Source organism: Homo sapiens, chromosome 6, assembly GCF_000001405.40.
Source record: "Homo sapiens chromosome 6, GRCh38.p14 Primary Assembly".
NCBI classification, from domain to species: Eukaryota; Metazoa; Chordata; class Mammalia; order Primates; family Hominidae; genus Homo; species Homo sapiens.
This window is the reverse complement of record NC_000006.12, coordinates 42,107,593-42,132,373: the sequence shown is the minus strand read 5'-3', so window position 1 is coordinate 42,132,373 and position 24,781 is coordinate 42,107,593. Positions and strand designations below refer to the sequence as shown.

Here is a 24,781-nt window from a genome sequence, read left to right as displayed (position 1 = left end):
CCAGCAAATTTTTTGTATTTTTAGTAGAGACGGGGTTTCACCATGTTAGCCAGGATGGTCTCGATCTCCTGACCTTGTGATCCGCCCGCCTCGGCCTCCCAAAGTGCTGGGATTACAGGTGTGAGCCCCCGCACCCAGCCCCTTTTTTTATTTTGATAACAAATTTACTATCTTACAATTCTGCGTGTCAGAACTCTGACACAGGTCTCTGTGGGCTCAATTAAGGTGTTGGCAAGACTTTGTTCCTCTGGAGGCTCCAGGAGAGTCTGTTTCCTTGCCTGTTCTGGCTGCTAGAGGCAGCCCACAGTCCTTGGCCAGTAGCCTCCTTCCATCTTCAAAGCCAGCCATGGCAGCTGAGCGCCTCTCACAGCGCATCACCCCACCTCTGCTCCCGTATCACGTTTCCCTCTCTGACCCCTACCCACTCCTCTTCAGACTGGGAAATCAAATCCGATTTTCCAGAGGTGCCTGGTAGCGAGAGGAGCCACCTGGGCCTTCCAACCCGGCCTCAACTACAGCCACTACCCTTCTATATGTTTTACAGAGAACAATTATGTTCTTAGAAAGGATTTCACTGCTTAAAACAACCACAAAGCAAGCAAAACAACAATGGCTCAGAGTCAGGGCTGAGTCATGGGATCTGTGAGGCAGTTAGAGCGCCTGCTTGGGGGTCAGACGGCCACAGTTCAGATCCGACTCCATCCTGACCAGCAGGCTTCGAACAAGCTGCCTCACCTCCCGTTGCTTCCCAGAGCTGCTCCTTGGCCAGAGCCGAGCCGAGCCTTCCTCACCCCCGTACATGGTGGGATTATGGCTCTTCCCTTTAGGGGTGTATGTATGGTAGTTTAGAAGTCAGGCCCTTTAGGGAGACCCTGGCTTCAACACTTACTGTGAGTCTTTGGGCAAGTTATTTGACCTCCTTGTGCCTCAGTTTCCTCATCTGTAAAACAGGGATAATGACTACCAATTTGCATGGGGCTGTTTTGAGAATTAAATGAATTAATAATGTGTAAGATGCTCAGAACAGTGCCCAGACCATTAAAGGTGCTCAGTAGGCTGGGCGCGTGGTACACACCTGTAATCCCAGCAGTTTGGGATGCTGAGGTGTGTAGATCACCTGAGTTCAGCAGTTTGAGATCAGCCTGGCCAACATGGTGAAACACCATCTCTACTAAAAATACAAAAATTAGCTGGGTGTGGTGGCGCACACCTGTAATCCCAGCACTTTGGGAGGCCAAGGTGGGTAGATCACCTGAGTTCAGGAGTTTGAGACAGGCCTGGCCAACATGGTGAAACCCCGTCTCTACTAAAAATACAAAAATTAGCTGGGCGTGGTGGTGCACACCTGTAATCCCAACTACTTCGGAGGCTGAGGCAGGAGAATTGCTTGAACCTGGGAAGCACAGGTTGCACTGAGCCGAGATCATGCCACTGTACTCCAGCCTGAGCGACAGAGCACAGGGATCCACAATGGCTCAGGCCTGTTGTCTTGGCACATAAAGAGGCGAGACAAGGCTTTTGAGGACAGCCTGGGCAACATAGAAACCTCTCATCTATATAACCAAAAAAAAAAGACTCCATCTCAAAAAAAATAAAGATAAAAAAAAGATGCTCAGTAAGTTTTTACCTTTTATTATTATTACTATTACAGTTATCATGCTTGCCAAGTTGCTCAGGTATAACACTTCTAAAGCTCCTAGGCACCCAATAAGAGTAGCCATTAATATGACAATAACAACTGTAGGAAGGAGGCTCCCTAGATCCCAACATCGGTGCAGAGATGAAATGATTAGGGCCTTGCCTAGGAGCGTGGCTGTCGTGCAGTCCCTGTGGCAATCCCCGCCCCACCCCAGTCCTGTTAAGGGTCCAGGTAGCCACATCACGTCAGGTCTAGGGCCTTGGCATCCACACAGCACTCTCTAGAAAATGCCCCAGGAGATCCTAGTGTCAACACGCAGACTCTCGGAAGTGAGGGAATTGGGGGCTTTCGTGGTGGCTGTTGGGTGTGAGCTACTTTTGTTGTTTCCCATTGAGTCAGATCTTACAGCTCCCCTCCCGCATGCCCTGTCTGATCTTGGTCTGCAGCCTCAGGCATGGAGACTGGCAACTGGGACTGGAAAATCATATTTGCCCAGAGTGCATGGGGCAGGGCAGTGCTGGGAACTGGAGTTTCCAGGGACGTGCGGAGCACACGGAGAACCCGACGTTCGGGCCCCTTTTGAGACGTGGAGAAGCTTGAGTGTCCCAGCCAGCTTCCTGCCTTGGGAGGGCAGCACACGGAGGACACCACCTCCAGCTGCTGGGGCGCTCCCAGGAGCCTCCCTGTCACATCCAAAGCCCAGATGCTCGCATGGGGTGCTGCGGCTATCGGTGTGGGGATTTGGGATGGATGTAGTCTGATCCCAGGATCTTCCTGACAAGCCCAGTCTCTTGAATAAATCATTTGGCTTTCTTGCAATTTTCTCCTAAAGTCATGTACAAGGAGAAAAGTAATCATGATTAGCTCAATGTCCCAGTTAGCAGACTTCTGGCTAACTGGGATTCTAACCTTTCTTCTCTCCTCTTTGGCTATCGAGGAAAGTCCTCCACACTTCGTTAAATGGAAGAAAGCCCTCTTTGCTCATGAGCCACATAGCAGGAGGGCCACAGCGATCCCTGCCAAGGGAGTGTGAATTTCTTGTCAGTGTGTATCAAGGGTCATGAGGGAGTTGAGAAAGGGATGTGATGTGATGTGAGTAGCCCCTCACATCCTCCCACTGCCATAGAGCAGCATGGAGCACAGACTCAGTAACTGGAGGAAGAGGAAGGTCCTTCATATCATCTTCCTACAGGGGAAGCAACCATGTTTGCTGAGCACTTACTATGCCCTGGCCACACTCACTCCTCACAACAGTGCTATACGGCACTATCATCACTCCCACTGTACGGATGGGAAAAACTGAGGCCCAGAGAGGTTAAGCCACATGGGCAGTCAGTGGCAGAGCTGGGATTTTTTAACCAGGTCACACTGACCCTACTGTCCCGTTTTTTCTGCTCTGCCCTCAAGGGTGCATTAAAGCAAGCCATGTACATAACCATCTGTGGTTTGGTGGTCAGGGAAATCTTGAGTTAGGGAGTCCAGATGATGGGATATTGGCCACTGCGGACAGCAGGTGGCCTCATCTGCTCTGCATGTTTCAGATTAGAAATTCAAACACTCGAGGGAAAAGCCAGCTTGTTTTCCTCCCTCTCTGAGATAAGCTTCAGCTGGGCCCTTAGCCGGGCTTCCTGGGCTCCAAAAACGAGGGACCATTGCTGTGGGAGAGAAGGCTCAGGACGGTACAGCGTGGTGGTTATGGATTGGGAGAGAGATGGCTGCAGAGGGCTGAAAGCCCCACGAACACCGAGTCCCTCACCCAGCGCCACCTCAGCTGGCCCCATTAGTGCACATCTCATCCATAAGATCTGATTATGTTAGAGGCGCTTAGCTGAATCCAACACTGGGAGACACGCAGGCCCTGGCTTTCCTCACTGGGAGCTGAAGGGCAGATTAAACTTGGGTGGCCGGATGCCTTGGATCTCCAGCTTATGGTGTCCCCTCACTTGTGTTCTCTAGATGGCATCTATTATGGAGACAATCGGTTTAACACAGTGAGCGAGTCAGGAACAGCCACGCTGAAAGCTCGGCCAAGAGTCCGGCCCCTGCTGACCTTCCTTCCGCTGGTGAGTACGGTTCTGCTCTGAGGTTGGAGAGTCTGCTCTGGCTGGGGACACCAAGGCTGCCCTAGCCCGAGTGGACATCAGCTGCACCCTCTGTCCACCCCTTCCTTCCTGATGCTGACCCGGCGGGAAGGGGGGCTACTGGAAGGAGGCATGGTCGAGGCTCATGGTAGGAAGTCTAGGATTAGGAATGCCAGCTCGTTCAGGGCCAAGCCCAAGGAGAAGTTATGGAGAACTTGTGTGCAGGAGTGATACAGCAGTGGGTACCCTCAGCCAAGCAGGGTTCATTTTCCACAGTCACAGATGACTGTCTGCTTTGTGCCAGGCCCTGCATTAGGTGCTGGATACAGAGATGACTGGGCCAGCCTTGCTGTTCTCAAGGAGCTCCCTGCCCACTGCAGGAGACAAATATATTTTGCTTAACCCGGTATATTCAAAAGAGTGTCATTGTGGCCAGTGCGGTGGCTCACGCCTGTAATCCCAGCATTTTGGGAGGCCAAGGGGGCAGATCATGAGGTCAGGAGATCGAGACCATCCTGGCTAACACGGTGAAACCCTGTCTCTACTAAATATAAAAAAAAAAAATAGCCGGTGTAGTGGCAAGCACCTGTAGTCCCAGCTACTCGGGAGGCTGAGGCAGGAGAATGGCATGAACCCAGGAGGCGGAGCTTGCAGTGAACCAAGATGGCGCCACTGCCCTCCAGCCTGGGTGACAGAGCAAGACTCCGTCTCAAAAAAAAAAAAAAAGAGTGTCATTGCAACATTTAATCAATATAAAAAATACTAATGGGCTATTTTACATTCTTTTTTTTCATGCTAAGTCTTAAAAATCTGGTGTACTACTTATATAGCACATCCCGCTTCTGACAGACTGAGACATTTTAAGTGCTCAACGGCTGCTTGTGGCCAGTGGCTGCTGTACTAGACAGCCCAGGCCTAAACAGCCAGGCTCCTAGATTTAAGGCTCACTCCTGTCTGTCGGAGCTGGGTCATGGGTGGCACAATGCTGTCACTGGGGTCACGGCATCCTCTTGCCTCCATGAGGGTTTAGTATTGCCTGGACTGAAAGGCCCCTTGCCCTGGTCTGAGCTCTCAGGGGCCTGTTAGACTTCATGGCACCCCACACATTGGTCCTGGGTCCCCATACCTGCTGCCTAGCACTGCCTGCCTGGCACAACCACCTTCCTCTCCCCATCACCGGTTTTTTTCTGCTATGTCCAACTTCAACAATCAGACCTAAGATTCTAGATGGGACAGAGGCAGTCTTACATTCTCCTTGGTGCATCTCTAAGTCCTCTCTGTGGAGGGCTGAGCACACAGCTCTCTGGGAATACAACTTTAAATAATTAATTTTCTGCTTATAAAAGCAGTTCGTGGATATTATAGATAAATATAGAAAGTGCAACACCACCACCAACAAGGTATAAATCAAATAAGTCAGCTTGGAATCCTAGCACTTTGGGAGGCCGAGGTGGGAGGATCACTTGAGGCCAGGAGTTCAAGACTAGCCTGGGCAATATAGCCCAACCCCATCTCTACAAAAAATTTAAAAATTAGTGAGGTGTGGTGGTGTGTGCCTATAGTCCCAGCTACTTGGGAGGCTGAGGCAGGAGGATTGCTTGAGCTCAGGAGGTTGAGGCTGCAGTTAGCTATGATTGCACTACTGCACTTCAGCCTGGGTGACAGAGTGAGACCCTGTCTTAAAGAAAAAAACCAAATGAGTCAGCCCCTAACTTGGTTTCCAGAGAATGCATAAAACTCTGATAGAAGTGATTGCACCCATAAATGCAGATAAAATTGTTTGAAATATTCTTTTTTTTTTTTTTTGCAGACTGAGTTTCATTCTTGTTGCCCAGGCTGGAGTGGTACAATGGCGTGATCTCGGCTCCCTGCAACCTCCACCTCCTGGGTTCAAGCGATTCTCCTGCCTCAGCCTCCCAAGTAGCTGGGATTACAGGTGCCCACCACCATGCCCGGCAAATTTTTTGTATTTTTAGTAGAGACAGGGTTTCACCATTTTGGCCAGGCTGGTCTCGAACTCCTGACCTCAGGTGATCCACAAACCTCAGCCTCCCAAAGTGCTGGGATTACAGGCGTGAGCTACCGCGCCCAGCCTGAAATACTCTATATTGGGAGGTTAATTAGATTCTCTCCTATCACTTACCCTCAGCACACATACCCAGATTCATAGCAGTGTGGGCCCAGAGTTGACACACCTCTACCAGTCGGTAAAATACTAAAACATTCATCTGTAAAATGGGAATAAAAAAAAAAAAACAAATAAAATACTGAAATACAGCCAGGTGTGGTGGCTCATGCCTGTAATCCCAGCACTTTGGGGGCCAAGGTGGGTGGATCATGAGGTCAGGAGTTCAAGACCAGCCTGGCCAACATGGTGAAACCCCGTCTCTACTAAAAATACAAAAATTAGCCGAGTGTGGTGGCACACACCTGTAATCCCAGCTACTCAGGAGGCTGAGGCAGGAGAATCGCTTGAACCTGGAGGCGGAGGTTGCAGTGAGCCAAGATTGCACCACTGCACTCCAGCCTGGACGACAGAGCGAGACTCCATCTCAAAAAAAAACAAAAAACAAAAACAAAACAGAAATACTTCTCTACACAGTAGAAACGGATGTTGCCCCTGGAGTGGCTCCTGCTGTCCTGCCCCTCGCCTAGATCTGGACCACCCCCAAAAGCAGCAACTAAAGAGTTAATGTGGGCCCAGCTGAGTTCGTTCTGATTGGTGGGCATCCTTATCTCCCCCCAGCTATCTGCTATGGGCCCCTCAAAGACCAGAGCAAATCCTCACCTTCCAGCCCTCTCTGGCTCTGGTTTGGATCTGGTCTGGGCAGAACATGACTCAGGGGCTGCATAGACCCCAGGCAGACCTGGCCAAAGGCTCTGGGGCCCCTGGAGTGGGCTGGGCTGGCTGGTCAGGCCTGAGTTCCAGGCTGTCCTGGGGAAATACTTCCTGGGAGCAGTTCTTTTGGGCAAGCCTCAGAACCAGTCCCAGGAAATGGGGGCTTCTCCCTAAAAACTCACACCCCCTCACTGGTGAGGGTGAAAGAATGGACACATGGTGAACCGACGGCTGAAAGGGGCCTCATTTTACAGAGGCAGGAACTGAACCAGGAAGGGGAAGTTCACTCGTTCCCTCGGTGCTGGCTAACCGGGGAAAGGCAGATGGAGCCACTTGCCAACCCCATCCAGTGGCACGGCCTGTGATCGTGGCCACCGTATGCTGAGCACTCACTGTGTGCCAGGCACCATTCCACGTGGACCATGTGTGTTAACAAAGCCACCCTCCGAGCAAGGTGCTGTCATTAATCCCCATGTTACAGGCAGGGAAACTGAGGCACAGGGTGGCGTAACTTGCTTAAGGTATTGCGGCTAAGTGGCAGAGCGCGACTGGAATCCCTGAAGCCAGGCTCCAGGGTCCAAGTTCTATTCAGACCGTTCTACTCTCCCTCCACCTGCTACATAGAAGCTTTTTCCTTCTCCTTCCAGGACCAGGCGGCAAAACCACTCCCACCTCCCTTGCCTGCCTCTCTGAATCCCTGTCCAGCAGCCTGGGCCTGCTGGGCACCAGGCCTCTTGCCACTTTTGGCTCATAGATGCTTTTGACGCCATGATGAGGCTGTGAGCCACATACATCTAGTTTTGCTTACAATTTCAGCAGGGGACTGAAGCCCACCCATGATATGCCTTTAGATTAGGAACCCTTGGCCCAGTGGCCCACATCACAGGGACTCTTCTGTGCTCCTCACTCAGGTCACAAGATAGGGCAGCTTCCATGTCGTTCGTCGCTTGCTCCCGGGTGGAGGGGAATCCGGCTGGCGGCTTAATTCTCTCCTGTCTGAGCTTCTGACTCCTCTCCTGTAGGCCCTAGCCAGGTCCTTTGCTTTCTTTCAGCAGGGACAGAAGGCCAGAAGGATGGGGAGAAGAGGGAGGACAAGCTCTGTGTGGGTGTGGGCTCACACACACATGCACACGCACACACCCCGTCCCCCAGCCCCACCAAGTCAGGGTGGGTGGGGAGCTGGGCCGGTGCCTAGCCCTGCCTGACACTGTCCCAGCCGGCCAGGCCTCCACCCCTCCCTGTCCTCCCTTCCCACATTCAGAGGCACCTCCCAGGCCAGGCTGCCCAGTGGGTAGGGGAGGTACGAGGTAGCAGTGCCCAAGAAGTCAGGTGACAGGCCCCTCGAGGGCCTGTGAGCTCTCTCCAGGCCTGGGCCATCTTCTGAGCCTACCCTCCCTGTCAGTGCCCTACAGGAGCCTGCCAGGGGACAGAGCTAGAGAGAAGGAGACAAGGCAGCAACAGGCGCTTCTGCCCCCTTCCCCAGAGTTCCCTTGTTCTGTGTGCTGTGGGTGCTGGGAATTACGAAGTGTTTATCAGGCATCCAGCAGCCAAAGGCCAGCTAGGAAAAGGACCTCGGGATCCCTCAGTGGCTGGGATGGGACCAGGGGCTAATACTCCAGCAGCTGACACCAGTCCCAGCTCTGCTGCTGGGATGCGGGGTGGCTGCAGGCCAGTCCCTTCCTCTCCCTGGGCCTCTGGCTCCTCACCCAACAGTGGGGGTCACACTGCATAGTCCTCAAGGGTCTCCCCAGCCACGACTTTCTGTGTTAAAATGACTTCCTAACGGAAGGGTAGATGGTGTGGTCAGCTCCCTGGAGGGCCACCGGAGAAGCCAGGCCCTAATGACACATGGACCCCTCCTTGAGCTCTGCTTCCGCCTCTGGAAAGGGAGGTTTTCCAGCTACTGGCGCAACCCCACCTTCCAGCTTGGGGAGCCGTGAGGAGCTGGATTTGAGCCACCAAACTTCAGAGGGGGTAGGACTACAGCAGTTGTCAAGATGAGAATACTGCGGCCTGGGGAGGGGAGGGCCCTGTCCAGGCCACTGGGCTCGATAGAAGCAGGGATAGGAGCCAGGCCTTCTCCCCAGGCTGGTCCCGGGTACAACATCGGAGGCCTGGCTGAGTGAGGGGTGATCCTTTCTCCCTCCTTCTCAGGGAAGACTGGGCCCAGAGAGCAAGCCAGAGCCTGTCCCTCTGTTTCTTCTTCTTCTTCCTTCTTTCTTCTTCTTCTTTCTTCTTTCTTCTTCTTCTTCTTCTCTTCCTCTTCCTCTCCTTCTCCTCCTCCTCCTCCACCTCCCTCTCCTCCTTCTTCTTTCTTCTTTTCTTCTTCTTCTTCTCCTTCTCCTTCTTCTCCTTCTCCTTCTTCTCCTTCTTCTCCTTCTCCTTCTCCTTTCTTCTTTCTTCTTCTTCTTCGTTGTTTTGTTTTTTTTTTTGAGATGGAGTCTGTCTCTGTCACCCAGGCTGGAGTGCAGTGGTGCGATCTCGGCTCACTGCAGGCTCCGCCTCCTGGGTTCAAGCCATTCTCCTGCCTCAGCCTCCCGAGTAGCTGAGACTACAGGCGTCTGCCACCACGCCCGGCTAATTTTTTGTATTTTTAGTAGAGACAGGTTTTCACTGTGTTAGCCAGGAGGGTCTCTCGATCTCCTGTCCTCATGATCTGCCCACCTTGGCCTGCCAAAGTTCTGGGATTACGGGCGTGAGCCACCGCGCCCGGCCTGTCCCTCTGCGTCTGAGAGCTGGGTCCATAGAACAGTGGGTGGCAGCAAGGTTGTGTTTTCTGGGGTTCTCTCTTGCCCTCCCCAGTCTGAATCAAGCCATCGCCAGGGTGATGCATATGAGGAATTAAAAATTAAATGCCAGTGTGGCAAGTATGGGAAAACTGGCCCAACAGGTCCCCAGGGGTGCCCTGGGCGGTGAGAGCTGCCTGGGTCACCCCACCCTCTGAGTCAGACAGGCCTGGCTCTGCCAGAGGAGGCATCCCTAGGCTCAGGCAGGAGGCCTCGCCTGCCCTGCACCCCTCCCTTAGTCCTTGCTGCTGAAGAGGCAGCTGGAGTCAGCCCCATCTCTCCTTTCCACCCACCCCGCTGCTGCAGGAGCTTTTCTCTAAACTCAAGGCCTAGGCACCTTTTGGGGCTGGAATCTGAGCTCTGTAGGGTGAGCCAGGCAAGGCAGCCATGATTGGCTTTTAGCTGGTTTGTGTGGATGATGTTAGGCCAAAGGGTTGAGGGGTGTGGGGTGTTAGGCCTGCCACGAGAGTGCAAATGGAGCTCCACACCCCCTTCTCTACCCACCTGGTTCCTTCCCTCTCAGTAAGGACCTCAGCCTGAACCTCCAAAGCTCCATCTAGGCCCATAAACCTCCATCCTTCATCCTGGCCCATAAACAGCCGCCTCTTTGTCCCCATGGACTCACAGATGTGTGCCCCCTCAGGAAGACTGGCCAGAGAAGAAGCCCTTGAAGTGGGCTCAGGGCCATTTAGGCAGGGTCTCCAGGGACGTGGTGCGCCCTCTGAGGGCATGTCCCCTTGATCCTACTGACTTCTTGCCCCAGAGAGAGAGCAGACCTGGGCCCGCCATAATACCTGGTGGAGGGCAGAAGCTGTGGTAACCTGGGTCTAAGGGTGGTTCTCAGATGGTAGATAGGTCCAGAGGAAGATGCTTCATGGGTGGACACTCTTTTCTGGCCCCCAGGAGGGGTCTGAGCTGTGGCACAGTGTGGGGCTGTGTTGGGGAAACCATCCTTCTCCTTTATAAACTGTTCACTGGCTCCCAACTTCATAGCTGCTCTGCAGGATACACACAGCCTTTCTCCATCCTTGATCCTCTACCACGTCCACCAGGCCAGCACCCCCATACTGCACCCCTAAGCCAGGAAAACAACTGGCTGGGCTTCATCTAGTTGGGTATGTTGGGTGCCTGGAGGGGTTTCTGTGTAGCTCTTGCTCTAGGGCAGGGGTGGGGGCTCCCAGCTTCCTTTTCTCACAGCCTGCAGTGGTGCCCCCAACCATGCCTGCCTCTAACTCAGGTTCAGGGTCATCTCCCTCCCACTCTGCAACTCCACACCCCGCCCCACAGGGCCAGTGCCCCAGACCAGGCTCCAGGAGGAGTCTGGTGAGGAAGTTTGCATTCCACGATGCGTAGCTAAGACTCCGAGCTGGCTGCTACCCAGGGTCAACCATGCATTGCCCACTGGCCCAGCCCCTGGTGACCCACCCTTGAGACTTGGCTGAGCTCTGAGGAATCCCAGGCATGAGGATGTGTGTGTCCCAGGCATGAGGAGGCCAGTGGGGTGGACTGGGGCCATCAGTGGGTAAGCCCTGCCCTCCTGAACTCTCAGGGGTGCAACAGGTGAGCAGTGGGCCCCAGCCCCCACAAAACTGCAAAGGGAAACTAGCCTCATCCTTGAATAGCGAGTGTTTTCTTCCCTGCCTTCTTCCCTCCCTTTCTTCCTCCTTCTCAACTCTGAAATGTTAGCAGTCAATAGGGCAATAGGGGATTCCTGGTGACCTGTCCCTGACCATGGGGAAGAACCCATTTCCTCAGATGCAACCAGAGAGACACACCCTGAAGGCTGTGCCCGGAGCAGTGGCCCAAGTCCTTGATTAGAATCCAGGGGAAATAAACTTTCTTGAGCACTACTCTGCAGGACCTCTTAAGGTGTGCAGTGGCCTCTGGTATCACAGCAAACCTAAGGGAGGTGGGATTATTCCCATTTTACAGATGAGAAAGCTGAGCCTCAGAAGGCAAGAAAGGGACACACTTCTTGAGCACCATCTATATGTCAGCTACTATCTCTGACTCCTTTTAGATAAGTCAGTTAAGATTGCAAATCTGGTCTGCCTGACTCCTAAGTTGATGTTTTTTCCACTCAATCACAATAATTAAAAAGAAAACTAGGCCAGGCGCGGTGGCTCATGCCTGTAATCCCAACACTTTGGGAGCCCGAGGTGGGAGGATCACAAGGTCAGGAGTTTGAGATCAGCCTGGCCAATATGATGAAACCCCGTCTCTACTAAACATACAAAAAATTAGCCGGGCATGGTGGCATGCACCTGTAGTCCTAAGTATTCAGGTGTCTGAGGCCGCAGAATCGCTTGAACCTGGGAGGTGGAGGTTGCAGTGAGCCAAGATCGTGCACTCCAGCCTGGGTGACAGAGCGAGACTCCGTCTCAAAAAACAAAAACAAAAAACCCCAAAAAACACACTATTATTGTATTGGGTATTTTTTTTTTAATTATAAAGGAAACAAAAGTTCATTGTTAAGAACCTCAGGCCGGGCACGGTGGCTCAAGCCTGTAATCCCAGCACTTTGGGAGGCCTAGGCGGGCGGATCATGAGGTCAGGAGATCGAGACCATCCTGGCTAACACGGTGAAACCCCGTCTCTACTAAAAATACAAAAAATTAACTGGACGTGGTGGTGGGTGCCTGTAGTCCCAGCTACTTGGGAGGCTGAGACAGGAGAATGGCATGAACCCGGGAGGCGGAGCTTGCAGTGAGCCGAGATCGCGCCACTGCACTCCAGCCTGGGCAACAGAGCAAGACTCCGTCTCAAGAAAAAAAAAAAAAAAGAACCTCGCAATAAAGACAAGGAAGGAAATACATATAAATATTCTTGGAATGGTAGTTTCCTCCACCCATGCTTCCTCCCTAATCATTGCTGGGAACTTTCCAATATACTAGGCTGTGATGATGGGTTTTTTTTGTTTTTGTTTTTGTTTTCGAGGTGGAGTTTCGCTCTTGTTGCCCAGGCTGGGGTGCAATGGCATGATCTTGGCTTACCGCAACCTCTGCCTCCCGGGTTCAAGCGATTCTCCTGCCTCAGCCTCCTGAGTAGCTAGGATTACAGGCATGTGCCACCATGCCCTGCTAATTTTGTATTTTTAGTAGAGACAAGTTTCTCCATGTTGGTCAGGTTGGTCTTGAACTCCTAACCTCAGGTGATCAGCCCACCTCGGCCTCCCAAAGTGCTGGGATTACAGGCATGAGCACCCGCCCCTGGCCACTGTGATGGTTTTTAAAGGGCTGCTTTGGCCAGGTGAGGTGGCTCACATCTGTAATCCCAGCACTTTGGGAAGCAGAGGAGGATCACTTGAGCCTTGGAGTTCGAGACCAGCCTGGCCAACATAGCAAGACCCTGTCCCACAAAAAATATAAAAACAAGCTGGACAGGCTGGGTGCAGTGGCTCACGCCTGTAATCTCAGCACTTTGGGAGGCCGAGGTGGGTGGATCACTGGAGGCCAGGAGTTCGAGAGCAGCCTAGCCAACATAGCAAAAACCCATCTGTATTTAAAATACAAAAAAATGAGCCAGGTGTGGTGGTACGCGCCTGTGGTCCCAGCTACTTGGGAGGCTGAGGCAGAAGAATTGCTTGAACCTGGGAGGCAGAGTTTGCAGTGAGCCGAAATTGCACCACTGAACTCCAGCCGGGGCAACAGAGTGAGACTCTGTCTCAAAAAAAAAAAAAAAAAAAAAGCTGGAAAGCTGGGCATGGTGGCTTGCACCTGTAGTACCAAACTTTGGGAGGCCAGGAATTCTCCCTTTTTTTTTTTTTTTTTTTTTTTTTTTGAGACAGAGTCTTGCTCTTGTGCCCAGGCTGGAGTGACGTGGCGCAATCTCAGCTCACTGCAACTTCTGCCCCCTGGGTTCAAGTGATAGCGATTCTCCTGCCTCAGCCTCCCGAGTAGTTGGGATTACAGGCGCCTGCCCCACACCTGCCTATTTTTTTTTTCTTTTTTTTTTTTTTTTTTGTAGAGACAGGGTTTCACCATGTTGGCCAGGCTGGTCTCAAACTCCTGACCTAAGATCCACCTGCCTTGGCCTCCCAAAGTGCTGGGATTACAGGAGCTCAGGAATTTGAGGCTGCGGTGAGCTATGATCTTGCCACTGCATTGCAGCTTGGGTGACAGTGAGATCCTATCTCTAAAAAAAAAAAAAAAAAAAAAAAATTAAAGGGCTGCTTCAACTGAACTGAGTTGCTGGCTTGTACACCTCTGTGAAGTAAGTGAAGTGACCGATGGTCTTAGCTTCTGGGTGTTGTCTGGGTGTGAGGACGAGGAAGTGCTGAGGCCCAGTTTCGTGGAGTTCCCAAGCTGGTAGAGCCAGGGCTGGACTCTGCCCCAGGCAGCCACAGTGCAGGGAGTGGCTGTGGCCGGCTGCCCAGGCTGGCCCAAAGAGGGAGGTGCTGCAGCCAGGCCCACCAGGAGCACGCTCAGATGCTCTTTTGCATGTTCTTTGCTTCACTGTACACAGGTTGGTCTGCCCCTTTCGATGTGGGCTGCCACACTCGGAGGGCCATGCACTCCACTCCCCTGAGAATGTTTGAGGCACATGGCAACCCCTGCTGGCAGCACCCTGGGCTCCTAAGTCTGTCATTTTCCTGATGCCAAGGGTGGAGCAGTGTAAGGTTGGGACACAGCAGGCTCCCCAGCTGACTGCAGCAGTCAGAGCCCTGTGTCTGAGGCCAACAGTGACCTCAAGCCCAGCCCTGCCTGCCTGGTCTGGGGCTCCTGGAAAAGAACTTTGAGAACTCTCCCTCCCACCTACTCCTGCCTCTACCCTGCTGCCCCTTTGGCATCTCTGGAGTCAGAGGACAACCTCGAGGCAATACAGTTGTCTGTCCCAACACCCTGTCATCGAGGGGTGACCCTGAGTGTCCAGGTCACTGCCCACACGACGCAGGTGAGCTGACTCACAGAAGGGACACTTTATGGACTGACAGAACGCTGTAGTCAAAGTGATCCTTGGAGAGTATTTACAGAAGGGGCAGAAAACTGAGACCAGAGTGAGAAGTTACTTTGCTCCAAGTTAATTGGTAGCAGAGCTAGAGCCATAACACAGGTTTTCTGCCTCTTTGTCCCATATTCTTTTTTTTTTTTTTTTTTTTTTTTTTTGTGACAGGGTTTTGCTCTGTCACTCAGGCTGGAGTGCAGTGGCACAATCTTGGCTCACTGCAATCTCCACCTCCTGGGTTCAAGTGATTCTCCTGCCTCAGCCTCCCAAGTAGCTGGGATTACAGGTGCCCACCACTACACCTGGCTAATTTTTTTGTATTGTTAGTAGAGATGGGGTTTCACCATGTTGGTCAGGCTGGTCTCGAACTCTTGACCTCAGATGATCCACCTACCTTGGGCTCCCAAAGTGCTGGGATTACAGGCGTGAGCCACCATGCCCGGCACTTGTCCCATATTCTTTCTGCCACTCTCACTCATCCAGGAACATATTCATTCAACAAACATTTGTTTAACTGCCCGGTCTGTGTCAGGCACATACAAAGAAGCAGCCATCACCGAGCCCTCAAGTAGACTGGGCTGGGCAGCAGGGACTACAGTCATCAACTCTATGTCTATAGACATAGAGTTGTGTTAGAGGGAAAGTATGAGAGCAAACACTGTACTGGCAAAGGAAGCAGGCTGTCAGGTCCCAATATTGGCCCTGGCACTTACTAGCTGTGTGACCTTGGGCAATGTACTTAGCCCTCTGTGCTTCAGTTTTCTCATCTATAAAATAAAAATAATAACTTGTCTCTTAGGGTTACTGTGAAAACTAACAGTAAGACTGGGTTGCTATATGTGAAGTACTCAGAACAGTGCCTTGCACCTAGTAGATGCCTAATAAATGTCAGCTGCAATAATAATGCACACAGAGCCTGAGGATCACACAGGGAGGAGAATTAACTCTGGCTGGGGTTGCCAAGAAGGACTTCACAGAGGAAGGGCATTTAATCTGGGGCTTAAAGGATACCTAGGAGTTTGCCAGGAAAAGAAGAGAATCCTAGGCAGAGTAAGAACAAGAACAAGGCTGCGGAAGCTTGAGGTGTGGAAATGGATCGCAAGTGGGAGCAGTGACTTTCGGGGGTTGGGAGAGGCAGATGTAGCTGGATCATCTAGAGGGCTTTTCAAGCTACCCATCTGCCCCTGGGACCTCTGAAACCTCTGCACAATTCCTCCAACAGGTGGTTTTTGTGCCCCACTGAGGACCCCTGCTGCAGGGAGCACACTTGTTCATGAGTCGGTCAGGTTCCCCCAGCTACAGTGGGATAGGAAAAAGACAAGAACCACCAGTGGGAGCCCAGGGTTTGTGGAGTAGGTGGGGAGAAGATGGTAGGAGCTGCAGAGGTCCAACTTATGAAAGTTCTCACAGGCCATGTGAAGGTGTTTGAATTTCTTCCTCTGGACCAATGGAAGGATTCTGAGCCAGAAAGTAAGCTGCTCTGAGATACTTTTGGGAAAGAATATCCCCGTGGCAGCTTTGGAGAATGGAGTGAGGCGGAGACTGGGAAAGTATCTGGCATCAAAGGGAGTCTGTTCATCTGGGTGAGGGATGGTGAGGACTGAGGAAGGGCTGAGGTGGAGGGGCAGCAGGAAGGAAGGATTCAGGAAGTGATGGGCAGAACTGGATGACCAGCTGGGTTTGCAAGGTGCCCGAAAAGACAGTGATCCATAACTCGCTGTGGGACCTTGGGCATGTCACTGAATCTCTCTGAGCCTCCATTTCCTCATCTGGAAAATGGCGGTAGCAATGACAGCACCTGTCTCATTGGGCTGTTGTGAAAAGCAAATGAGTTAAGTGATAGAAAGTGCTGAAAGAGGCTGGGCACAGTGGCTCATGCCTGTAATCCCAGCACTTTGGGAGGCCACGGCGGGCGGATCACAAGCTCAGGAGTTCAAGACCAGCCTGGCCAACATAGTGAAACCCCGTCTCCACCAAAAATACAAAAATTAGCCGGGTGTGGTGGCAGGTCCCTGTACTCCCAGCTACTTGGGAGGCTGAGTCAGGAGAATCGCTGGAACCCGGGAGTCAAAGGTTGCAGTGAGCCGAGATCTTGCCACTGCACTCCAGCCTGGGCGACACAGCGAGACCATCTCAAAAAAAAAAAAAAAGAAAAAGAAAAAGAAAAAAGAAAAAAAAAAAAAGAAAGTGCTGAAAGAGTACCTGATACAGAATAAGTGCTGGCCAAGTAGCAGCTGTTGTTCCTACTGTTAAGATTGGGAGTTTAGGGGATGGAAGAAAGAGGTGATGTCTAGAGGTTACACACATTCTAAGTTGCCCCCAACACTTTTTCTTTTGATTTCTTGTCTTCTGTTTTGTTTAACTTTTTTATTATAAGATATACATAAGATAAAATTTACCGTTTTAACCGTTTTATTTATTTATTTATTTTATTTTTTTGAGACGGAGTCTCGCTCTGTCGCCCAGGCTGGAGTGCAGTGCCTCCATCTCGGCTCACTGCAAGCTCCGCCTCCCGGGTTCACGCCATTCTCCTGCCTCAGCCTCCCGAGTAGCTGGGACTACAGGCGCCTGCCACCATGCCGGGCTAATATTTTGTGTTTTTAGTAGAGGCGGGGTTTCGCCGTGTTAGCCAGGATGGTCTCAATCTCCTGACCTCATGATCCGCCCGCCTCAGCCTCCCAAAGTGCTGGGATTACAGGCATGAGCCACTGCGCCCGGCCTTTTAACCATTTTAAAATGTACAATTCAGTGGCATTAAGTACATAACTTTTTCTTTTCTTTTTTTTTTTTTTTTTGAGATGGAGTCTTACTCTGTCGCCCAGGCTGGAGTGCAATGGTGCGATCTTGGCTCACTGCAACCTCTGCCTCCCGGGTTCAAGTGATTCCCCTGCCTCAGCCTCCTGAGTAGCTGGGATTACAGGTGCCTGCCACCATGCCCGGCTAATTTTTGTATTTTTAGTACAGATGGGATTTCACCATGTTGGTCTCCAACTCCTGACCTCGTGATCTGCCCACCTCAGCCTCCCAAAGTTCTGGGATTACAGGTGTGAGCCACCATGCCCGGCTTTTTTTTTTTTTTGAGACAGAGTCTCTCTCTGTCGCCCAGGCTGGAGTGCAGTGGCACAATCTTGGCTCACTGCAACCTCTGTCTCCTGGGTTCAAGCAATTCTCCCTGTCTTAGCCTCCCGAGTAGCTGGGATTACAGTCGCTTGCCACCACGCCTGGCTAATTTTTGTATTTTCAGTAGAGACAACGTTTCAACACATTGGGCAGGCTGGTCTCAAACTCCTGACCTCCAGTGATCCGCCTGTCTCAGCCTCCCAAAGTGCTGGGATTACAAGCGTGAGCCACTGTGCCCTGCCTCAAGCCCTCTTCTTAAGGAGGCTTTTCCTTTGTTCTCTGAGGTGAAGAGAGGCAGGTTAGGAAATTCAGCACCCATGGAGATGGATGCTGTCCACACCTGTGCATTTGCACACTGAAATATGTCACCATCCACGCCAGTGCACTTGATGCCAGCTGCCTGGGTGGGAAGCAATTTACCTTCTGAGTCTGTTTTTATGGGACTAAGATTAAAATGAGTTTGCATTTGCCTTCCCTGAAAAAACATCAGTGAAAGGGACAGCTAAGTAAGCCACAGGAGCCCATGTGGGCCCATGTGGGCCCAAGTGGGAAAGAAAAGGGCCAGACAGGGGCTTGGAGAGCCAGAGAGACTATGTTCAGTTCAATACTGGAAGCTTCTGAAGGGATGAGGCTGGCCTTTGGGACTTGCTCCAAGGGCAGACCATGGTGTGTCACAGCACCGCAAGCATGGTGGTGAGGTGGTGGGGGTGCTGTGGGATCCCCTTGTGTCAGAATAGGGACCTAAGAAGCCAGGGCTTGGACTGAGCTGTTGTTACAAGCCGCTCCAGAGATGGATTTTTGCCCTGTGGTCTTGGGAGTCTAATGTGTTTTCTAAGTGCTTTAAGATCAAAGGGCATAGTGAGTAATATTACCTTAGGCCTATAAAGTCTATCCGTCTTCCTCCCACACACACCATTAAGCATTCAGGGTAACCCAGAAGGTGCTACTAGACTTACAGGGAGCTTAGCTTTGATTGTTCACGATTTTTTCACTTTTCTGGAATAGAGGATTACAAGATATAATCCTTCAACTAGCATTGGTTTCCTGGGTTAGGGATATTATCTCATTTGATTCTCATAATAGCCCTGCAAAGTAGGAACTATTGGCTCAATTTTCTTTTTTTTTCTTTCTTTTTTTTCTTTTCTTTTTTTGAGACAGTCTTGCTCTATCGCCCAGGCTGGAGTGCAGTGGCATGATCTCAGGTCACTGCAACCTCTGCCTCCCTGGTTCAAGCAATTCTCCCTGCCTTAGCCTCCTGAATAGCTGGGATTACAGGCACCTGCCACCATGCCTGGCTAATTTTTGTATTTTTAGTAGAGATGGGGTTTTGCCATGTTGGCCAGGCTGGTCTTGAACTCCTGACTTCAGGTGATCCTCCTGCCTTGGCCTCCCAAAGTGCTGGGATTACAGGCGTGAGCCACCATGCCCAGCTGCCTTGGTTTTCTAAGTGAAGAAAATGGGTCTCAGTGATCTGTAGAAAAGGTAAGGTGGAAAGCCTAGGTTTGCACCCTGGCTCTGTGAAGGGATTTGAGGTGACACCGGTCACACTCTTAGTATAGGGCTATTGCACAGGAGGAGCCTGGACAATGGCTCAACATCACTGTCCCCATCCCACATCTCCACTGCTCATCCAAGGCTACACTGCTGGCAAGCCTGAGCATGAATGGAACCCAAGACTTTTGATGCTAAGTCCCCAGCCTTTCCGCTTTTCAATTATGTTGAAATTAATCAGAGATCTCAACCCTGGCTTTTGAAGGCCTGGCCTCCATCTCATCAAAATCAGAGTGTGTGTACTTGATGGAGGTTATTAGAATGTCAGTGATTTGCATGTGTGTGTGGCACATCTCAGGATGTCATGGGAGACACACTTCTGATGGGCTGGGTCCCTATACCTGCCCCTGGTTCCCAATCACTGGGTTTGAGAAAAGTTGAGAACAGGTATGTTGTTGGCCATGCAAATCAAGTAAAGGCAGGAAAAAAAAAAGACAAGTTGATGGCTCAAGGCCATTCCAGCTTCAGAATTCTTCAAGAACAAGATGAGTGGTTTGCTGATCCCAAGTGACCAGAGTAATTCTGAGATGGCCCTTGGTAACCCAGGGTCTCATAGATATTTCTGTAACATCGACCTTGAGTGCCCTTCTTGTATATTAAGTCCAGAGGGTTAGTACCATCAGCCCATCACTAACAACTGGGCTCACTATGCATCCAGCTTTGGGGGATACCATAAGACATGGTCCCTGGGCTCCAAGGAGCTCCCAGATCTCACTGAAGGAACTAGAGGACAATCTGGAGTGCAAACAAGTGTCTCCCCTCTTTTGGGAGCTTGGCTGTGGGTTGCTCTGGGTAGCAGTGGGTCAGTGTGGTGCGGACAGGGGATGGCTCCCAAGTGCTTTTTGTGCATTGCATCATTTAGTCCTCACAGCTTCCCTACTATGGGTAATTGTATTGTTATCACCATTTCCCAGATGGGGAAACTGAGACACAGGGAGATTAAGTAACTTGCATAGTCATACACCTAATAGGTAGCAGATCTGATATTCAAATCCAGACAGGCTGGAAAGCCAGAGCCAATGCTCTTATCCCCTACCCCTGTTCCATCATCCTAGAGGGGCTCAGCTAATCCTTGAAGGATAAGGGATTTTAGGGAGGCAAAATACTAAGGAGTGGGAGCTCCACAGACCTGGGTTTGGTAGTACTGGTTGTGTGACTTTAGACAACTTACCAAAGGTCTTTGAGCCTCAGTTTCTTCATCTGGTAAATGATGACATCCTCTTCTATACAGAGTGGTGTGACTGAGATAATGTGTTTAGTTAGAGCACAGTGCAAGGAGTATTATGACTATGATTATTGTTATAAATGGAGAGTGGGAATGACAGGTACAGCTGACCAATGCCCAGCATCATGGATGAACACGGACTATATGGGGTGGTTGAAAAGGTGGCAGGGAGGGAGTCGGTGAAGCTACAATGTGGGATGGGTGTAATAGGTGAGTGGGAAATAACAGTTGGCTGGGAAGCATGAGGCCAGGTCATTGGGGACCTTGAAAACTACCCTAAAATGCTCTACAGCTCTTCAAAACAGCAGGTGTGTGGACTTTGTTGACATATGGAAATGTGTGTTTGGAAAAAAAAAATAGAATGCAAAATAGTATGTACAAACTGACAGCTGTGTAAAAATATTATAGCCTCTTAAGCTTAGCGATCAGAAGGGCATCTGTAGAGCTATAAATATTCAAGTTCAGGCTGGGAACAGTGGCTCATACCTGTTATCCCCACACTTTGGGAGGCCAAGGTGGGCGGATTACTTGAGCCCAGGAGTTCAAGACCAGCCTGGGAGACATGACGAAACCACATTCTCTAAAACATATACAAAAAATTAGCCAGGGCTGGGCGCGGTGGCTCACACCTGTAATCCCAGCACTTTGGGAGGCAGAGGTGGGCAGATCACGAGGTCAGGAGTTCAGGACCAGCCTGGCCAACATGGTGAAACCCCGTCTCTACTAAAAATACAAAAAATTAGCTGGGCATGGTGGTGCACGCCCCTGTAATCCCAGCTACTCGGGAGGCTGAGGCAGGAGAATTGCTTGAACCCAGGAGGCAGAGGTTGTGGTGAGCAGAGATCATGCCATTACACTCCAGCCTGGGTGACAGAGCAAGACTCCATCTCAAAAAAAAAAAAAAAAAAAATTAGCCAGGAATGGTGGCACACATCTGTAGTCCCAGCTACAGATGGGAAGATTGCTTGAGCCACGAGATGGAGGCTGCAGTGAGCCATGATTGCACCACTGCACTCCAGCTTAGGTGACAGAATAAAACCCTGTCTCAATTAAAACAAAAAAAAATTCAAGTTCATCACTTTTTATTTTTCTGTAAACACCTAATGAAAACTAAGAACACACAGGAGGCCAGGCTGAGGAGTTTGGCTTTTCACCTGTGGACCTCCATGGAGAGTCAATGCAGATTCTATTTGTTTGTTTTGTCTTTTTCATCGAGATGGAATTCATATACAGTCAATCCTCCCTATTTGTGGATTCTGTATTTGCAAATTTGCTTAGTGGCTAAAACGTATTTGTAACCCCAGAATCAATGCTTGTGTTGCTTCTGTGGTCATTTGCAGACATGCACAGAGCAGTGAAAATTTTGAGTTGCTCAATGCACATGTTCCCAGCTGAACAAGAGGATTCTATGCCTTCTTGTTTTAGCTGTCATACAAAAACAAGTGTCTTTTTCTGTTTAGTGTCATGTGTTATAGTGCTATCGGCCATGAGTTCAATGTTAACCAACCAACAAAATATATTAAAATGTCTTTAAGCAGAAACACAGCTAAAACAAGGTTATGGTTATGTATTGATCAGTTGACAAAAATCTTGTGACCAGAGGCTCATAGGAACCTAACCCTGTATTTCCCCTAGGAGCAACGGGTCAGTATTTACTAATACTATGTTCATTGCAACTTTATAGAACATAACTATGACAAATAGTGATGATTGGTTGACTGTACCACAAGATTCACTTTTTAAAATCAGCCTTTTATATTTTGGTATATGCACAAGGTTATGCAACCATGACCGTCACTGCAGATTTTCAAGCAGTAAAATGGCCTCAAAGAGCAGCAGTTTGAGAATTATCTGTCCATCTTTCCCTGTCCCCTGATTTCTTTCTGGTCTCTTTCAGAATGCCCAGGAAAACCATGGGCTGGCTGTGCCCACCCCCTCGGTTCCAGATGATTTTGCAGACAAAGAAGTGACAGGTAAGTGAACCCTGGGCTTGGGGCTTGTCCATCTTTCTTTCCTCCTAGGGCCCTGAGTTCAAAAGCTAAGCATCTGCTCATCTTCACAGCTGGTGACAAAGCCAGAGTCCTCAGGCACAGCCACTCTCGCCATCCTCAGTCATCTTGATTACTGGCCGCAGTGGGCTAGGGCAGTGGGGCTGGGAGTTGAGGAGAGCCACGGTCAGTGAAGGCCCCTTTCTGGCGGGGGAAGGATGGCAAGGGGACAAAGCCAGAGCAGGAACAAGTGCAGCATAAAGTGGAAGAAGGGCCTGGCTTTGAATCCCAGCTCCCCACATATTCACTTTGCTCCCTTGGGCAAGACACTTCACCCCTCCTACCTCTGTATCTTCCAACGAACGATGGGAACAACAGTTCAGTTTGGAGGAGTAAATGAAGTGGTGGATGGGATGTATGTCATGTCTGTCACACCTCTCAGAGGTGCTTCAAACTCACTAATGGCTTCCCGTGTCACTCAGAGAAAAGGTTCTTGCAAGGACTGCTGGAGTCTGACCGGAGTCTGGCCACTTTGCTTGCTTGCTTTCCCCTCCCACACTGCCCCGGCCACAGCATCTCCTGTTGCTCCTGAAATACCCCAGGCACATTTCCGCCTTGGGGTCTTTGCACTGCAGACCTCTCAGGTTAGAATGCTCTTCTGCGAGGCATCTGTGTGGCCGTCTCCCTCACTCCTCCCTTCTTTGCTCAAATGTCACCTTCTCTGCGAGGCCTTCTCAGACTGCTTTATTTATTTATTTATTTATTTATTTGAGATGGAGTCTCGCTCTGTTGCCAGGCTGGAGGGCAGTGGTGTGATCTCAGCTCACTGCAACCTCTGCCTCCCGGGTTCAAGCAGTTCTCCCACCTCAGCCTCTGAGTAGCTGGGACCATAGGTGCACACCACCATGCCCAGCTAATTTTTGTATTTTTAGTAGAGACAGTGTTTCACCATGTTGGCCAGGATGGTCTCTATCTCTTGACCTCGTGATCCACCTGCCTCAGCCTCCTAAAGTGCTCGGATTACAGGTGTGAGCCACCGCACCCGGCCGGACTGCCCTATTTAAATTGCACCTGCTGCACCCCTCCCCTGCTGGTGTTTTTTCCCATCGCACTCATCCTCTAATGTGATAATAATGTACTCACACATTATGTTCATTGTCCCGTTCAAGCGTAAGCTCCCTAGGAGGACCAGTGTTTGTCTGTTTTTTGTTTTGTTGGTTTTTTTGCTGCTGTACCCCAGCTCCTAAGTCCTGCCTGACAGTTGGGTGCTCAGTGAATGTTAGTTTTCCCCTTCCCCACTCTTGGTTTCTTCAGTTTGAAGTCAGGCAGCTGGGAGGAGCCCTTCAGAGCCGCACACTCCCCAGGTTCGCCACACTGTTAGGGACTGAGAGGAGGGGAGCAAAGGATGGGTGCCCCTAAGAAGGAAGTAGACTCTGGGAGAGGGGCTGGGGACCTGGTCCGAGGACAAGAGAGGGATGTGCGCTGCTGGGGCCAGGGGCTCTCAGCATCTCTTTAGCACCCAGATTGTCCAGGCCACCTTCCTTCTGCACACCCCTGTTCTATTCTGCAGTCCAGAATCTGCCTCCATTCTCTATGAAGTGGACAGCTGGGTTCTTAATAGTTTCAGGGTCTTTAGAAAGCAGGAGTAGTTTGTGCAAATTGCTCCCTCCTGCGGGTCTCTCACCCAGCCTTCCTCACTGAGGAGGTCTCTCGCCCCTGCCCCATGACTTCCTATCTCTTTCCCACCTTCCCTGTCTCACACAGTCTGAAAAGTTAAGCACAGATGGTAGGAATCAAAGTGGTTCCATTTTATTAAATGCCTACTGGAGGCCTGGCACCATGACAAGCCCTTTCTGTGTATTTGCATGGATTCTCTCATTTAATCCTCACAACAGCTGTAAGAAGCGAGCACTGACATCATGCCCCTTTGACAGATGAGGAAACTGAGGCTCAGCAAGGTTAATTAGTGTGTTCAAGGTCACTCATCTAATAAGTGGTAGAGCTGGGATTTGAACCCTGGACTTTCTGGCTTGGCCAAGGTCAAGGTCCCAGCAAGAAACAGATGGCGCACTCAAAGGGGATAACTGAAGAGAGTTGAGTAAAGGGACAGTATACCAGAGTGTGAGCTTGGTTAGGCGACTCTTGTCTCCTGGGGACAGTGACACCCAGGGACTGAACATAGTGGGAGAGGGACACCCCGACAGGACCTGTGTCTGCGGGGCAGGAAAGACAGCTGCTGCCAACCTGTGACGCAGCCAGGAGGCAGCCAGAGGAATCAGTGCCCTGGCCCTCTTGTCCCCACCCCCCATCTCAGGGGGCAAGGGAGTCCCGGCACAGGTTAGAGGGTGACTCTGGGGAGGCAAATGGAGGTAATTCCATACAGGCTTCAAAGGCTGTGCCAGGGACAGGCAGGAGACGCTCCCTAGAAAGAAGGGGGGACACCCCCAGGACAGCTCAGGAGACTGGACACAGGGCTGCTCCCTCTCTTGGTGTTCAGGAGAAAATGATCCAGTCATTCTCTTGGGTGCCCACCCCTGCCCCTGCCCTGGGTAAACAGAAATTGGCAGGGCTAGTCTGCCTTGTTCCTGCCCCCCATCTTTGCCTCTCC

At 50.9% G+C, this 24,781-nt stretch overlaps 1 protein-coding gene across 2 annotated transcripts in view; it reads left to right on the top strand.

Annotated features, from left to right (window-relative positions):
* C6orf132 (chromosome 6 open reading frame 132) overlaps nucleotides 1–24,781 on the top strand; it is a 41,502-nt gene that overhangs the window by 10,247 nt on the left and 6,474 nt on the right. The window contains exons 2-3 of one of the 2 annotated variants that reach the window (NM_001164446.3): nucleotides 3,596–3,702; nucleotides 22,083–22,158. In NM_001164446.3, coding sequence (NP_001157918.1) covers nucleotides 3,596–3,702; nucleotides 22,083–22,158 — 183 coding nt within the window. Of the gene's footprint in view, nucleotides 1–3,595; nucleotides 3,703–5,541; nucleotides 6,443–22,082; nucleotides 22,159–24,781 lie in introns of those variants that run through there. The other variant, XM_047419258.1, reaches the window with a different exon arrangement.